The following is a 17,464-nucleotide window of genomic DNA, read 5'->3' as shown; positions in this document are numbered from 1 at the left end:
CCCAGGAGGTCCTTACATACAACTGGCAACAATATTAATGTTGCCAACAAACAACTGGCAAGAATATTAATGACATTTTTAAAAAAGAAAAGTCAAGTGCTGACTGGGCACGGTAATTATGCCTGTAATCCCAGTACTTTGGGAGGCCAAGTTGGGCAGATCACTTGAGGTCAGGAGTTTGAGGCCAGCCTGGCCAACATTGTGAAACCCCCCCTCTCCCAAAAATACAAAAAAAAAAAAAAATTAGCTGGGTGTGGTGATGTACACCTGTAATCCCAGCTACTCAGGGGGCTGAGGCAGGAGAATCACTTGAACCTGGGAAGCAGAGGTTAGAGGGAGCAGAGACAGTGCCACAGAACTCCAGCCTAGGTGAGGGAGTGAGATTCCGTCTTAAAAAACAAACAAGCCGGACGCGGTGGCTCACGCCTGTAATCCCAACACTTTGGGAGGCCGAGGCGGGTGGATCACGAGGTCAGGAGATCAAGACCATCCTGGCTAACGTGGTGAAACCCCGTCTTTACTAAAAATAAAAATAAAAAAAAATTAGCTGGGCTTGGTGGCAGGTCCTTGTAGTCCCAGCTACTTGGGAGGCTGAGGCAGGAGAATTGCTTGAACCTGGGAGGCCGAGGTTGCAGTGAGCCGAGATTGCGCCACTGCACTCCAGCCTGGGTGACAGAATGAGACTCCGTCTCAAAAAAAAAAAAAAAAAAAAAAAAACAAGAAAAAACAAACAAACAACAAAACCCAAGTGTTAGCTGCAGAAATGGGGCTGTCATCTCAGCATGCAGCAGCTTGTTTTAGCTTTTTGAGATGGAGTCTTGTTCTGTCACCCAGGCTGGAGTGCAATGGTGCAATCTCAGCTCACTGCAACCTCATGCAGCAAGTTTTGAAGGAGACTTACCTGACTGTCGAAAAAGAGTGCTCTCTACTATCTTGGTCATGCAGTTAAGTTTCTGCCGAACCAGCTGGTTGTCAGGAATGCTTTGAATGAATTTGCAGAAGAGCACGCTGGGAGAGAAACCTCAGGGTTAGTAGTGTCTTCGTTCTGCCAAATTGAAGGCATCATTATAAACTTTTCTCCTCCACTCTGAGATTTGGGCATGGAGAGATTTACCTGGAAAACTACAAAATGACCTGAGAGTTTATGACATGGCAGCAAGGGAGATTTTATCCTCACTTACTGGAGGGCTCTGCCTTAGAGCTGAGTATTTAAATTGCCAAAGAACACCCACGTCCATCATCACTTTCCAGACCCGCCTTTATGAAAATGGCTTTCTTGGCAACTCCACTCTCATGTTGATTGCAGTCTGACTTTGCACTGCTGGGATACTTAGGGGTAGGGCTGGAAGCATGTCATTATACACTATCTTTTGTAATCGATTTTATGTCTGCATGTCTTGTTTTCCCAGAGAAAGTGCAAACCTCTCTCAGGGCAGGTTTTGGATGTTCTTTTGCATCTTCCACAGAACTGAGCACAAAAAGGTATTCAGTTAATACTTCTTAGAAAAATAAAAGCCAGGTGTAGCAGCCCAGGCTCCAGCCAAGCAGGGGAGCTGTTTCTGTTAGAGTTAAGGAACAAAATTTTGTTTTGCTATTTACCTGAGCTCAACAGGATCAAATACAAGTTTGACATCATTAATTATGCTAGGAAGGTACTTCAAAGCTGCCCCCTGTAAGAAAAACACCAAAGGCAAATTCAGTTGCCAGGCAAGACAAATACAGTATTTACTGCTTGATCCCAGGAAGAAAAGGCTGTGCTTGGAACTTATATAGGGAACTGGACACAGATACCCTTACAATAAAAAGGAAAGCTGGCATTGCTCTACACGATCTCCTAAAATGCTTTTCCTGAAGATGCCAGGGGGTACAGCTTTCTGGTTTCTACTGCCAGCAGGCTCTGTCCACTTGGAGTTCATTTCTCTGCCTAAGGAGGTGGTTAAATTCTTGAAGCCTCTCTTGCAACATGGCCATAAAGAGCAAAAAATAAATATTAATAGTAAAGTTCACATTTGAGCCTTCAGGGATTATATATTTCATATTTTTTAAAAAAATTATGATAATAAAGATGGTGACTTTGCACTTCTGGGTAAAATGAGGGACAAAAAATAAAAATTTGTCACCTGTAGTGCATTGGGATCAGTTTGCTGAAATCATGGGGTCAAACAGGGTTCACAATGGCCTTTCAAGGGATGTCTAATTGGGTAGCTTGTCTTTGGCAAGTTGACACTTGAAAATACAAGCTCTGTAGAAGTTAAAATGGATTTTTTTTCCTTTATTTTCTGTAAATCATACTAAAATTCATAAGCTATGCATGAACCATGATTCACTTTGTTTCTCCCTCATGATGGCCAATTCTAAGCGGTCCCAGAACATCCTTACCACAGCCTAAGAAGAGTTACCCATGATGCTGCCAGGCTGACCTTGATCTTGACGGCTTCCTCCAGAGGCCTGTCCATCAGCATATTGAAAGCAAGAAATAACTGGCGAATTGAATTATTAAACTCATCTCCATCTTTGCTCTGCCCATAAAATCTTAATAGGAAAAAGACAAAAGCAGTTGGACTTTCCATTGTTAAAAGAAATTTTAAAATAGATTTGTTGCCTCCCTCACTTCTCCTTCATCGTATCACCCTAATCATTCTGACTCACCTAATTAAGCCCCAGTCATCTGAAGTTTCAGGCAATGGGTTAGAGAAGCCGCTCAACCCGGAAAGGCTCTGATCCCCAACCCAGCCTACAAAACCATTTGTTCCACTTTAGCCACTGAACTGCCCGTGCCGATGCTGGCCTGCTCTACCATAAGGGCCTTCCAGGACAAGACCCCTTAGTCTTCGCTGATACATGCTTGCCTTAATTAAAGTACTCTACTTGTCTCCAAAAGATCTGTCCACCAACTCAAAAGTGGGTTCTTTCTCATAAGTAGAAATCAAGAGATATTTGGGCACTTTCCAAGACACACAAAAGTCCCAAATGAAAGTGCATATGCACATATAATAGGTGGCAATTTCACCACTAACTGGTCAAGAATAGGATGGCTTGAATTCAAAATTTCATGCACACACTCAAATACACACATGTACATTTAAATTCATCTCCTCCATTCACCTATACCTTATATAGTACCCAAAGAATATGAACTTCACTGAGATCGTTAATCAGAGGGTTAATGGTAATTCTCAATTCACCCATTTTACAGAACTAGAAAAGAACTTTATTTGCAATGTAGTCCCCAAAGTATCTCAAAATTAACACACCTACAACAGAATTCGCTTGATTTCCCTGCTCAACTCTAAGTATTACAAATGTCAGCAAACAGCATCACCTCGAACCTAGATCCACCCCAAACCTAGATGTTATCTATGTTTCTTCTCTTTCTCTCATTGCCCCATCAAACCCAACAGCAAATCCTACGAGCTCGAATCAGTCCATTCTCTCCATCTGCCTCTGAGATGGGGCTGGAGTATCTCACATTTAAACCACAATGGCCTCTTAAAGTGGTCACTGGCTTCTACCTGTAGCCTTCGATAATCCATTTTCCATGTGGGAGATGAGATGATCATTTAAAATATAAGCCAGATTTTATTACTTCTCTAGTTGTCCCCCAACGGCTTCCCACTACACTTGGAATAAAATCCAAGCTCCTCACTATGGCCTACAAGGCCCCACATCATTTACTATTTGCTGGCCACTCCCGCTCTCTCTCCCGACACTGGGTTCTCGTTACTCCTCACGCATCCACATTTGGTGCCCTATAGGTCCCTGCCTGGGGCAGGTCCTGCTCCCACTAACCCTTACCTGACATCTCTGGAGGCTGCTTCTTCATCTTTCAGTCTCAGCTCACATGATACCACCTCCTCCTCCACCCAGCTCAGCTCAGGCAGCCTTCCCTGCTGGTTCCACCACTCCAACACTGCCTTCATTTAGGGGTTGATTTCTTTACTCCTTGCCTCCCTGAACTCCATGGAACCCACACACACCATCATAGTGGGAGCCTGGTCACATATGCTGCAAAAGCCCTGCACCAATGCAGAACACTTGGCACTCTACGTATGTGACTTGATTTTTTTTTTAAGTACTAATGATAGGGGGCTAAGGGATTAAGATCAAGCTTCTCAACATCCTATTGGGAGCAATTTACAATTTTTTCTTGGTGTTTTGCTGATTGAGGTGAAATCCAGCCAGGTAATGAGCTCATAAGAGAGATTTAAGCTCTGCGGAAGGCAACAGGGGGCCCAGGGACCAGGTGACATTCCACTGCAGCCTCCAGACATGGCCAGTGCACTGAAGTGACCATTAAATCTAAGCAACCAGGGGACGCACATTGCCAGTCTCTTCCCCAGCTCAGGTTCTTCTTTAATAACATATAAGGGAAAAGTAACCACACGCAGGCCATCACAGACAGTGTGTAATGAAGCAACTCTCCTAGTCAATTTCATGGGTCCTCTGTCGCCCTAACCTTTTGTTTTCCACACTCACCATCCTTTACTGTCCTATCTGGTGTCTAGAATGAGGACTCTGATGTGCCTCAACAAATGAAGAGGAAATGAACTAGTGAACCATCCATAAGAAAATATATTTTAATTTCACACTCAGGTTTTCTTTCTGTGGTTTAAAGTTGATACTGATTTTTGGACATCAGGGTTTACTATACATACAAACTTTTGGGTAAGAGAATATTCCCTTGGTCGAACACTCCATGCCCCAACCATTCTGAATACATGGAAATGTACCATAACTGGAAAATATAATGAAACAACTTTAAAAGAAGACCTTCTGAAAAGAAAGCAAATACAGAGACTGAGCATAAATTATGTGTGGGGAAAACACTGCCCACTTCCACCTGGAAAGGAGGGACAGTCATTCAGCCAGATGGGTTTCAAGTCATTAAACATTTTTTAAAAACAATCAGAAAGGTACATATTCATTTAAAAATTCAAAAAAATATAAAAAATAGCAAATAAAAATAGAATAATAAATGTAAATCAAATGCTGAAAGAATAAAAACATAAAGAATGAAAAAATAAATTACAACCCTGTCACATGAAGTTTTCATACTATTGACATTTCAGACCAGGCACGGTGGCTCACGCCTGTAATTCCAGCACTTTGGGAGGCGGAGGTGGGCAGATCCCTTGAGCCCAGGAGTTTGAGACCAGACTGGGTAACATAGAGAGACCCTGTCTCTACAAAAAATATAAACATTAGCTGGGCATGGTGACGTGCCCTTTGGTCCCAGCTACTTGGGGGGCTAAGGTTGGAGGATCGCTTGAGCCCGGGAAGCAGAGTGCAGTGACCCAACATCATGCCACTGAACTCTCGCCTGGGTGACAGAGCCAGACCCTGTCTCAAAAACAAAAACAAAAAACCCTAAAAAACTCTAAAGAAACAACAACAAAAAAACACTTTAGCATGTGATCTATCCAGTCTTCTTTACTATACATATTTCAAATCTGTATTATTTTAAAAGGAAGATCATACTGTACTCATGCTTAATACCTTTGTTTTATCATTTAAGAATGTATCGGGCCAGGCGCAGTGGCTCATGCCTGTAATTCCAGCACTTTCGGAGGCCGAGGCGGGGGGATCACGAGGTCAGGAGATCGAGACCATCCTGGCTAACATGTCAAACCCCATCGCTACTAAAAATACAAAAAAATTAGCTGGGCATGGTGGTATGCACCTGTAGTCCCAGCTACTCGGGAGGCTGAGGCACGAGAATCGCTTGAACCTGTAAGGTGGAGGCTGCAGTGAGCCAAGATTACACCACTGCACTCCAGCCTGGGCGACAGAGCAAGACTCCATCTCAAAAAAAAAAAAAAAAAAGAATCTATCATGGTCGTCTTTCCTCATTAACATACCCTACATTTGAAATGACTGAATGTACATACTTTCACATTCATTTTTGTCATACCTGATAAGATTTTTTTTTTCCATTAGATAAATTTCTAGATGAGGTATTACTGGACAAATGTGACACTTTTTCCTTTCCCTTAAAAATCTTCTTTTTTGTTTTTATTCAGACTATCTATTTCTATCCTGAAGAATTTATATCTCCATTAGCATCAAAACTGAAATACAGGACCAATTTTTGCCCAATCTCATCAAGGACAAAGATGTCTAATCTTTTTCAAATGTATAGGTAAAAGATGGTGTGTGTGTGCATGCATGTGTGTGCGTCTGTATCAAAATTCTTTTGATAGTATGAAATTTTTTAAAAAGTTTATTGACCATTTAAGTTTTTCTTTTGTAAATTACCTGTTTTTGTTTTCCATTAGGGCTATTTATCATTCTTTTATTGATTTATAAAAGCTTTAACTGAGAAAAGCTATTAAACTTTCATCTGTACTATATGTAACCTTTTTGCAGGTTGTTTGCCTTTAATTTTATTTTTTTCAATAAAGTTTCTTTTAAAAATACATATGCTCAATTCTACAAACCTTTTCTTTCTTCCTTAGAAAAAAATTTTAACAGTTTGGAAATACAGCTATTTCTGAAGGGTAGGAAAGTCACTGGGGTTGTGAATGTTCCCTGCAAAGGTACTTGCTCTTTTGCAGTTTCTTCTGTTTTTGATGGAACTGTTATGCTAGAAATCCAAACAGGGAATAATCCTGTCTCTAGTGCTTAGTTGCCCAGGTAGCTAAGCACAGTGTCAACAAGGAAACACTCATCTCAGGCAACACCTCCCCTGAGATGACTGCTGCTTCTGCTAGCGACAGCAGATCATGATCCTAGATTTGCACACTCAATATTGTCATGAAGTCATCTGCTGTATTAGGTACAATCTTTCCACAGGAATCTGCTTCCCCAAGTCCTGAGGTCATTACTGCCCCAGAATTTTGCTGATCTACAAAAACTTCTCATGAGTCTTCTCCAACAGACACGCAGCCCAAATCCATCTTCAGCCCTGCAGTTCTGAAATAAGGCAATTCTAAGAACTAACTGCTCACAGAGCTGAACACCACTGTGCAGAGTGAGGGAAAAAGCACACAGAGTGACAGCTGATAATCTAAACATCTTCACTGCAGTTAACATTACCTCAAGTAGAGCACTCGGGATTGGATGATGAATCTAAACAAGTACTTCAAGGCTTTCAACGCAGCAAAAAGCAGTTCAGTCTTGCTGGAGTCATCTGCATTAGCCACATAGAAGTTCAGTACCTTGGAGAGTTTCCTTAGAAGAATGAGAAAGAAAAATTAAGCCAATGAGCAACAGGATACTCTGAGGCTTGGGTAAGTTATCTAAGAGGGGAACATGGCATCCTGGAAGTAGAAGTCATAACTAATTATATCTTCTAGAATATGCCCTGAACAGCAAAATTAACTCTTTTCCAATTAAGTTTCCTCATCTGCCATCTAGGTTTGGAACTACCTTCTGCTGAGAAATACTAGAAAAGGTTTCTTTCCCTTTGTGGGATTAAACCGGAGGGTTATGAAATGAAATGGTTGAAGTGACCCAAATTGCTAGGATATTTTAATCTCTGGTATGCAATTCTGACATCTTCAGATGCTCCCATAAATGAGGGATTATGCCTGCCTACAGGAGTTGACTTAAAAGAAGCCTAATTCCTTTTATTCTGCCTCAACCCATTGGGATCCATCAATATGGAGCCAGATAGAAACTTTATGGAGTGAAGAAAGAGGAGCTCACTCTCCAGAACATTCATGGTTCTAAGCATTCAACAGATAAAGCTGTTCTGGGGTTATAGGTTGCTCTTTGTGTCTTTCTAGAGTTTTTGGGCTAGGAATGGTCTTCATTTTGTGCTATCCCTTAGACTTTGGAGGGCACTGATATTTTAAACTTAAACTTTCCTTCTGGGGATCCTTGAGCTTTCCTAGAATAATAATAATAGTTATATACAATAATAGTCATACATAATAATATAATAATAGTCACTTATAATTATTATTATTATTATTATTTAGATGGAGTCTCATTCTGTCACCCAGGATGGAGTGCAGTGGCGTGATCTCTGCCTCCTGGGTTCAAGCACTCGGCCGAATTATTATTTTTTAAAAAGGAAACATATAGAATTGATCAAGTCTTGCAAGTAAACCCAGATTACTACCACCTGGAGTGCTGCATTTGGCTCGGTATGATCACAGTGATGGGATTTCCTCATTTGTAGCTATTGCCCACCTGGATGTGAGGCTCCTGGGTGGAACGGCCACTGTCACTGGTGTTCTTGCTGACAAGTCAGTGGGCAGCAATCTACAGGATGTGGCTTAAGCCACTGTCATAAGAAGATCATGGACCAATCCAGCTACATTCCTTTCACTATTTATCACATTCTGCACAATAACTGGAAGGCAACGGGTGGGTGTGGCAGGCACACACAATGCCATGGTGAGCTGAGTGCTCTGGGGAGGAATGCGGAGTGGACATCAGTTGCTTTCCTTAGTCAGGGGCCCATAAACCAATGATAGAAGGCAGGCTGCACTACAAAAAAGGTAGAGACCACTGCCTCTTATGCAAAAGATGGGAAAACGAAATCTTCTCATATCCTGTAAGCAATACATTTTACAAAGCATTTGTGGTACAGGGTTGAGGGCATGACCTTTTCTTCTATCAAACTTGGTCTTGTTTAATTCATGGTTTGATCTCCTTGATGTCCCACGCCAATCCCACTGACATTCAACCTCTGAGATCCTGGGTTGAGTCATTTGTTATTGATTTTGCTCGATTTTTTTTTTTTTTTTAGATACTAAGTCTTGCTCTGTCACTTAGGCTGGAGTGCAATGGCATGATCACAGCTCACTGCAGCCTTGACTTCCCTGGGCTTAAGCAATCCTCTCACCTAAGCCTCTCGAGTAGCTAGGACTACAGGTGTGTGTCACCACACCTGGCTAACTTTTTAATTTTTTGTAAAGATAGGTTCTTGTTATGTTGCCTAGGCTGGTCTTGAATTCCTGGCCTCAAGCAATCCTCCCCACAAAGTGCTGGAATTGCAGGTATGAGCAACCACGCCTGGCCTATTCTGGATCCTTAAGGAAATTTCGCCTGATCCAGAATGAAGGCCCTGATCTTAGCCCCCTTTCCAGAGTTAGAATACTTAGATGGTTCCCTTTTTCCACCCGGAAGCTTAGAATAAGAGTTCTGCCTTAACAGGCGTATTTACTGAATAGTAATAGGTCCGTCTCGTTTCTCAACAATCCAGTCCTAAGAGTACAAATCCAAAGATCCAACAACATGTAGTTCCTTCAGATCATACTTACACATATGCCAAAGTGGCGCTGAAGTGCTTGTAAATGTAGGTTTCAAGTACAGGATTAAAATGCTGGAACTTGATGTCTCCTATCAGTGAAATAATAAATACCTGCCAAAAGTGAAAAATAGAAATAGCAGCACTGCACAATCCCAAGTATTCTGTCAACAAGCCGCATTTTAACATCTCGGTGCCTTCTTTCCTCTCTGGATCTTTTCTGCAGCATTCCCACTCTACTATTCCAGAGCTGATGTCAAGTCTTGAGGATTGTATTTATTTAGCATAAATAGAGAGACTATTATGTGTCAGGCACTATGTTAAATGCTGTGAAGAAACCAACTCAAGCCAGCATCCTTGGCCTCAGGGAGCTGACTATCTCAAAGACAGGGGAGTCGATGCCCAGGTAACCTAACGGGCAGGAGGAAGGAGGCTCTGGAAAGGTGTTTTCTCTAATCCAAGGATGCAGCTAATGAAACATTCCATGACATTTTTCTCCTGTGTACACTATGAGTGCCCCCAGTAACAACTGCACCAGAGTTTTATCTCCCAATTACCTCTTGTATATTCTCTTGCACTGCTATCAGGCACATGACCTAAAATCAGCCACACTACCCTGTTTAAGACAGAGGGGTCAGAAGAAAGAGGCATTTGGGATTTCCATCTATGCCCACTGCCAGCTGCTATGTCCCTCAGGAATCTGTTTCCAGACCTTGTCCCACAGCAACCATAACCACTGTCTCTCTTTCCCATAAACCCAAGTCCAACCAGTTGGATCTCAAGTAGGTGGCCTTTTCTTTCTTTATCTTAAACCTTAGCTTTAATACCCTAATCATTTCCTAAACTGACTAGTTTCTCAAAGCTGGTAAATCGCCTAAAGCTGCAACTGACCTTCCTCCTCAGCTGTGGCATTCAGGTAAAATCCTGTCCTGAAATTTCACCCCACCAAGGTGAAAACGATGCTTGCTTTGAGCCTTTCAGCTTCTTCCCCTCCACCCTCACCTCTGGCTTTCCCAGATTCTGATATCACTTATCCCTGATCTGATTTCAATTCTTGCAATGGGTTGTAGGTTTAAGTGCTTTGTGCGACAAATTCAATTTTCTGCTGGGTTGAATATTCTGCCTAATGAGGCTCAGATTCACCTCTGACTTGTGAATTCAGTCTCCCTTGCATAAACACACCAGTGCACACACAAATCCAACATGTAACAATGCTCCAGATCATGGTAATGTGAGTTAAAATGATTCCTGATTTCTAATAAAAATAAAACATCTTATCTTCTCTAATGAGAAAGAGCATATCAAAAAATGAGACCTAACAGGAAACAAACAAAGGCCTGAAATATAAGTCATTTGTTTCTAATAGTACTTCTAGGAATTCAGCCTAAAACAATAACCAGAGAGATGTAAACAAATATTTATGTGAGAAGATATTCACACAATCACTTATAATAGTGAAATATTGAAAACTACAAAGTTGCAACAATAAACACTAGTTAATATGTTTAACTGCTTACCAGTGCGTCAAACACAAGGAAGTCATAGGTTTCACTGTCTGACATTTCCATCATTATGTTAAAGAGTGCATCTAGTGTATCTTGCAAAAACTGAAGATAAGAAAAACGGAGAGGTTATTTTGATGCTTTCATTCAGCCCCACACCACAGAAATCTGGGTACAACTAGTTTAAATCAAAGAGGTTTAAAATAGCATTTTTTAAAAAACTAGCACACTTGTTTAACAACGTAGATTTTATATTTACAATGAATGATTTAATTTTAAATGGTGAACCAATTAGGTATAATTAGATAGGTATATATATGTAGGTATGTGTATTTCTAACTATGAATATATAAACATACCTTAACAATCTCTCCTCCATCCACTTCCATTAACTTCTTTAGGTTGTGTTTAATGTTCTGGGAGTTGGAACGCCAATTTAACAAGCCTAACAGGTCAACTAGGAAGAACAACCACAAACATTAGATACAGGTGAGAACAACCCAGACCATTTCAGGACATAGCTAAAGAATTCTCTAGAACAGGTAATTGCTCTCAATAGTGGCTAATTCAAGATGCCTTATATATTCTTTTAATTTACTATCTCCTATCTAAGTCAGAGAAAACCTTGTGGTCCTCTTTCATTCTTCAAAGAGAAAAAAATTAACTATTAATGCATAAGAACTTAGAATATCTGACTGAAACTAACATTTCTCAAATAATGACATCATGGTCATAAGAAGTAAAGCTAAGAAGCATGCTAATGTAACCTTCCTACTTTTAATTTGCTGCCTTATTTAAATTGTCCCTTATCACTACCTATGTCTGGGTGGATTCAGAGGGAAAGAGGAACATAGGTATGTGTGTATCTCTCTCTCTCTCTCTCTCTCTCTCTCTCTCTCTCTCTCTATATATATATATATATATATGCATTAATTTATTTCAACATCATGACTGCACAGATTTTATTTTTTTCATCTTTTAGATGAGGAAACTGAGGCTTTGTGAAGTTAAATTACATGTCTTAGGAGAGGTAGAAATGGAATTTTATTACATATTTATCTGATTTGAAAAACCAACTCCTTGCTACTCTATCATACTGTTTTCCCCAGAGTTCTTTGAAGAAATAGACAAGCAAATCAGACAGGTGGCTATTTCAAACAAAAGGTGGAACAGATTCATAACCCTTAGCATAAGTCTGGGATAAAAATCTTAAGACATTTTTTGACTTACAATGGAGAATTTTGAAACTTTAAGCCACTTACAGGTTTAATAAATGTTGAGCTATTAAAAATGTCAAAGGGGCTGGGCACAGTGGCTAACACCTGTAATCCCAACACTTTAGGAAGCCAAGACAGGAGGATTACTTGAGCTCAGGAATTCAAGACCAGCCTGGGCAACATAGAGAGACCCTGTCTCTATTAAGAAATACACATATATGTGTGTGTGTGTGTGTGTGTGTGTGTGTGTGTGTGTGTGTCACAGAGAAACTGCAGTTATCTGGACTGTTACTGTATTATCACCTAGTTTAGTACATCAAGCTACTATTTCTATTCAGAGCACTATCTAGTAAATGTAGCAATACATACTTTTTTTTTCTTTGAGAGACAAGGTCGCTCTGTCACCCGGGCTGGGGTGCAGTAGTGCAATCTCATGCAGTGGTGCAATCACACAATCTCAGCTCATTGCAACCTGCAACCTCCACCTCCCAGGATCAAGCATTCCTCCCACCTCAGCCTCCAGAGTAGCTGGGACTACAGGTGCACCACCACACCTGGCTAATTTTTGTATTTTTTGTAGAGAAGGGCTTTCACCATGTTGCCCAGGCTGGTCTTGAACTCCTGAGCTTCAAAAGCAAGCCTCCTGCCTCGGCCTCCCAGAGTGCCTCCCAAATCCCTCCCAAAGGGATTACAAGTGTGAGCCACTGCGCCCGGCTGATATTTTTCAATCAATGAATTTGTAGAAATATATAAGTAGTTACACATGTATTTTTCATAAATAGTCAAAGTCCTTCTTGAGGGTGTTTATCAACACCCTCCAAAACCTAGTGCCTAGGGATTCCTCGTGTCTACAGGATAAACTTCCAATGCCACATAGAGAATGTAATAAGGCCCCACCTATATCACTCCTGCATACTTCCAACCACCACCATTCTCTTTTACCCTTTAGCAGTCAGAGAAATCCAATCACTACAGCCCAACCATGGCAGGTTCTGAAATATCTCTGTGTCTTTGTGTATATTCTTCCCTTTGCCTGAAATACCCAGAAATACTATGTATTTGGTAAGATGTACTTGGTATCTCCTTGACTCTTCCCATAGTTCTCAGCCATTTGAAGGCAGGAATCATATAGTATTCATTCTTTTATCTTGCCTTAGTACTAGCCATCTATTAGGTGTTCAATACATGTTTGATGAAGGAATAAATGAATGAACGGAAAGGGAACCAGTAGCCCTAAGGAAACTGATAATATGCTCAACCCAATCATTAATATATTCATTCATCCACTAGGCACCATCTACTTCCATATTCTCCAGCTCTTATTTCTGTCACAGGCTAGTCGAAGGTATCACTCATTCCATCACTTGACTCATAGCTGCTGGAGGAAAAGGATTTAGTCCCTTCACCAGGGGTGAATATTCACCCAGCAGCTTCAGCTCTGGCAAAGTACCCATCTATCAGCCCAGAGGTTTATTTCCTAGTGATATCTGCATGCCAGATCACTGCTCACATAGGAAAATATTTTGGCATCTGGTGAATTGTTAAGGTCTTAGGGCCAGGAGAGCAGTGACACGGGGTTACAGAAAGAGCCCCATGCTTGCTGTGTTTCTAAGATTTATACAGGTTTATCCATGTAGCTCTAGTTAATTTTTTTTCTCGCTGTATAGTGTCTATTCAATTGTATGGGTGTACACAATTTGTTTATCCACTCTGCTGCTGATAAACACGTGGGTTGTCTCTAGTTTTTTTGCTATCATAAGCAATTCCGCCATGAACATTCTCATACGTCTCCTGGTATACAGGTAGAGCAGCTTCTCTGGGATAGAAAACTAAGGTGGGATTTCTGGGGCATCAGGAAGAATATCTTCAACCATATTAAATATTATGCAAAGTCACTGTCCTCATTTTACATTCTTGTCAGAAATGTGTAAGAATTCAGGATATTTCAAATCTTCAGTAATGCTGAGTAAAAGCGCAAGTTACATGATTTCACACGTGACACAAGACTTCAATTAGACAGTTCAATTATTAACTACATTAATACTGTAGACTGTATAGTACTGTATACTGTATACTTGAAAATTGCTAAGAGAATAGATTTTGAGTGTTCTCACCACCGAAAAATAAGTAAGGTGGCATGCAAAAGTTGCCAGCTGCAGGAGATTACTGAGCACTTGAAATGTGGCTAGGGCAACTAAGGGACTGACTCATAATTTAATTTATTAACATAAAATTAAAAAATGCAAAATGAAACAATATACCTTAAGGGCTACAGATGTGGCAAAACTATAAAGAGAAGCAAGAGAATAACAATCCCCACATTTAGGGTAGTAACTGCCTTCTACCCTAAAGGAGAGAATTTAAGAACACATACTTTTAAAGAGAAAAGAAAGACAAAGCTATTCAGACTCAAAAGGTTAAAAGTCACTGGAGTTCGTAACAAACAGATCTTGGAGACTCTGTAACTGCAAAACGATAAACTATAAACTGTTTGGAGCTACAAAGAGCTGCTTTCAAAATACAAGTCCACGACTTAGGAGCTTAAGAAAGATTTTTTGCCACTTTAAAACTCAATTTTCTGATCAATAAGCTGGAGATGATCTGGCAAAGTTGGTGCTGGAGGGTGCAATGACTGACTGAGTATGAACCTCCTGGCCCAAGGCCACGCACCTCTGGGGACCTGCACATTCCTCTCTTTTTCCTGGGAAACAAATCTATTCTTACCTTCCAGTGGGCCCAGAAACCAATGATCCCACACAAATTGGTCTGTTTTAGTTTCTAAAAAACAAATCAAGTAAACAAAAGAGTCTCCAAGATCTGTTTGTTAAAACTCCAGTGGCTTTTAACCTTTTGAGTCTGAATAACTCTCCTCAGGCGAAGGAGAAATGCCTTTGTTCACCCTCTCAGTGAGAACACTGCTACCCTCTCTACTCAGTCAACACCCTCACAGAATTAGCTGATGGCTTATTAATGTTCTTCAGCTTTTTATTAAATCAAATTCATTCTTTATAATTTCCATCAAGTCAGAAGAAAGCAAATGCATGAATAATCTGCAATCATTTGTCCCTGGAATACCCCATTTTCCCTGATGCTCGTGATGCCTTTGCCAAGTCTCCGTCTTTCCCTCTCTGTACCCTGTTCCCTCTCCCTGCTCGCAGTCTGTTTGGATGGCAGCTCACTCCTCTCTGACTCAGACAAGGTTTGCCTTTTTAACCCTTCTTTGTAATAAGATATTACTTCTGACTTTTTTTGTATGTGTTATGATGAGTTTGTCTTTTTTTTTAATCAAAACATCAGGAATAAGGATGACAAAATAAAGCATACAGTGTCATCCAAAGGAACATTCTGTGATGATGAAAATGTATATCCGTCTGCCCAACACAAAACTCACCAGCTGCAGAAGACCAGAATGCTTGAAATGCGACTAGGGCAACTAGCGGACTGATTTATAATTTAATTTTATTAATAAAATTTAATTAACAAATAAAAATTGTATGTATTTGCAGTGTACAACATGATGTTCTGACACACACACACACACGGTAGAAGGGTAAATCAAGGTAATTAACACACACATTATCTCACTTATTGTTTGGTGGTGAGAACACTTAAAATCTACTCTCTTACCAATTTTCAAGTATACACTATACTATTAACTATAGACACGAGGATATATAACAGATCTCTTGAACTTATCCCTCTTGTCTAATTGAGCTTTTGTACCTTTTGTCCAACTTCTCCCCAATCTCCCCACCCTCCAATTTTAATTAATTTAAATTTTACAAGCTACATGTGTCTGGGGGCTACCATATCGGGACAGTACAGGCTAGTTAAGAACATTCAGAAGATGGGGTGAAGTAGATGTATCAGCAAACGAAGGGTCTACATTGAGAACTGCGGGTTGTCAGGAAACCCTACATTTTTGACAGGGAGATAACAAACAATGTAACAATATGGTTATCTCTAACAGAAATTCCTTTTGCTTTTCATTACTAGTTAATTTCACAAACTTTTATTCTTGTTTTCTTTATTCTTCTTTAATCTGTAGTCCAGAAAGGATAATCTACTAGATGTTCAATAAGTGTTATCCCTCTCAAATATCCCTTGATAGTTTTAAAAGAACATTAATGCTTTATATAGTATACTACCATACTTAGTTTAAAAAATAACATTTTGACATTTCATAGTTAAAAATTTGGAAAATACCAAAAAGAATAAAGAAAACAAGAATTATCAAACTTTGGGTTAGTCCTATTCATCGTTTTCTGTGTACAAATAGTGATGATGATCGTGATAGCTGACATTATAGTGTTCACTATATAGATCGAATGTGAGTTTTTACGTGTTTTAATTTACTGCATTCTTTGAAATAGATACTATTATTGCTCCCATTTGAAAGACAAGGAAACCAATTCACAGAGATATCAAGTCACTTGCCCAAGATGAAACAGCTAGTAAATGGCAGAGCTGGGATTTGAAGCCAGGCAATCTGCCTGCAGGTTGCTCACATATACTTAAATAAAACTGGGATCATACTGTATATAGTGTTAAAAAGTTCACCGTGTCCTTCACTATGTTTTGAAATACCATATTTAGCAGCTGCATATATTTCATCACTTAATTATATTATAAAACGTGGTTAAACTGACCCTGACTATCAGACATTTGGGTTGTTTCCAGTATTTCCCTGTTACAAATAATAGGGAAACAACATCCTTGTACATAAATCTTCGTGTCCATCTCTCATTGTTTACTTAAGTGCAACTTCCAGGAATCAAATCACAGGCTCAAAGGGTCTGAAGACAGTTAAACTCCTTGATATGCCTTCTAAATTATCTTCCATAAATGTTGTACCCATTAACCTACCAGCAGTTCATTGTTAATGGATTCGCTTTGTCCATAACACGGGGTATGTTGCTGACGGTTTTGTCACGTCTTTTATGTTTCTGGCTTCATTTTTGGTGAGGATGCTTTTACTTGCACATACGGATTAGCCCTAAACTTCACTCTGTGGAGTCTAGCCACTTGTCCAAGTTGAAATACAATCCTTATCTTTTTGTCAACCACGACTTGTTGAAACAAACCTAACACTGAGCCCTTCTAAAGATCAGGGATCTGATCCCTGGGTTTACCCTATAACTACACTTTTTTGTCTATCTTGGCACCCCTTAAGGCAGAGCTCTTGCCTGTACCTCACTCAAACTGTCTACAAGGCCAAAGGCAACAGTCTCTACACGGCATATGGGAGACAGAATTTCTAGCGCAAGTCCCCTAGGCAGCTCATTCTTGGTTTACTACATCCAGTAGGGTTCCTTACACATTACTTAAGTTAAATAAATAAGAAGTTGATATTGGCTAGCACATGTCATAATCTACACAAGAGAGGTTAAAATTGATATCAGAGATTTGAAGGAAAAACCAAATGAATCCCTCTTTGAACTATTCAGCTGAATTTATGGAAAATCCCTGACTGCTTGGAAAAAAATGGGAAAGAAGAGAATATAGGAGGGAAGGACAGAACTCAAACAGGAAGCCCTGCCATACCT

At 40.1% G+C, this 17,464-nt stretch overlaps 1 protein-coding gene across 1 annotated transcript in view; it reads right to left on the bottom strand.

The window, feature by feature from the left end:
• DOCK5 (dedicator of cytokinesis 5) overlaps positions 1–17,464 on the bottom strand; it is a 231,023-nt gene that overhangs the window by 72,303 nt on the left and 141,256 nt on the right. Inside the window, exons 19-25 of the mRNA NM_024940.8 lie at positions 11,061–11,158; positions 10,717–10,806; positions 9,213–9,313; positions 7,036–7,170; positions 2,421–2,532; positions 1,600–1,670; positions 902–1,008 (exon numbers count right to left, since the gene is read on the bottom strand). Coding sequence (NP_079216.4) covers positions 902–1,008; positions 1,600–1,670; positions 2,421–2,532; positions 7,036–7,170; positions 9,213–9,313; positions 10,717–10,806; positions 11,061–11,158 — 714 coding nt within the window. The remainder of the gene's footprint in view (positions 1–901; positions 1,009–1,599; positions 1,671–2,420; positions 2,533–7,035; positions 7,171–9,212; positions 9,314–10,716; positions 10,807–11,060; positions 11,159–17,464) is intronic.

This window comes from Homo sapiens, chromosome 8, assembly GCF_000001405.40.
Source record: "Homo sapiens chromosome 8, GRCh38.p14 Primary Assembly".
NCBI classification, from domain to species: Eukaryota; Metazoa; Chordata; class Mammalia; order Primates; family Hominidae; genus Homo; species Homo sapiens.
Note: the sequence above shows the minus strand (reverse complement) of the source record. Positions and strands in the feature narration are given on the sequence as shown.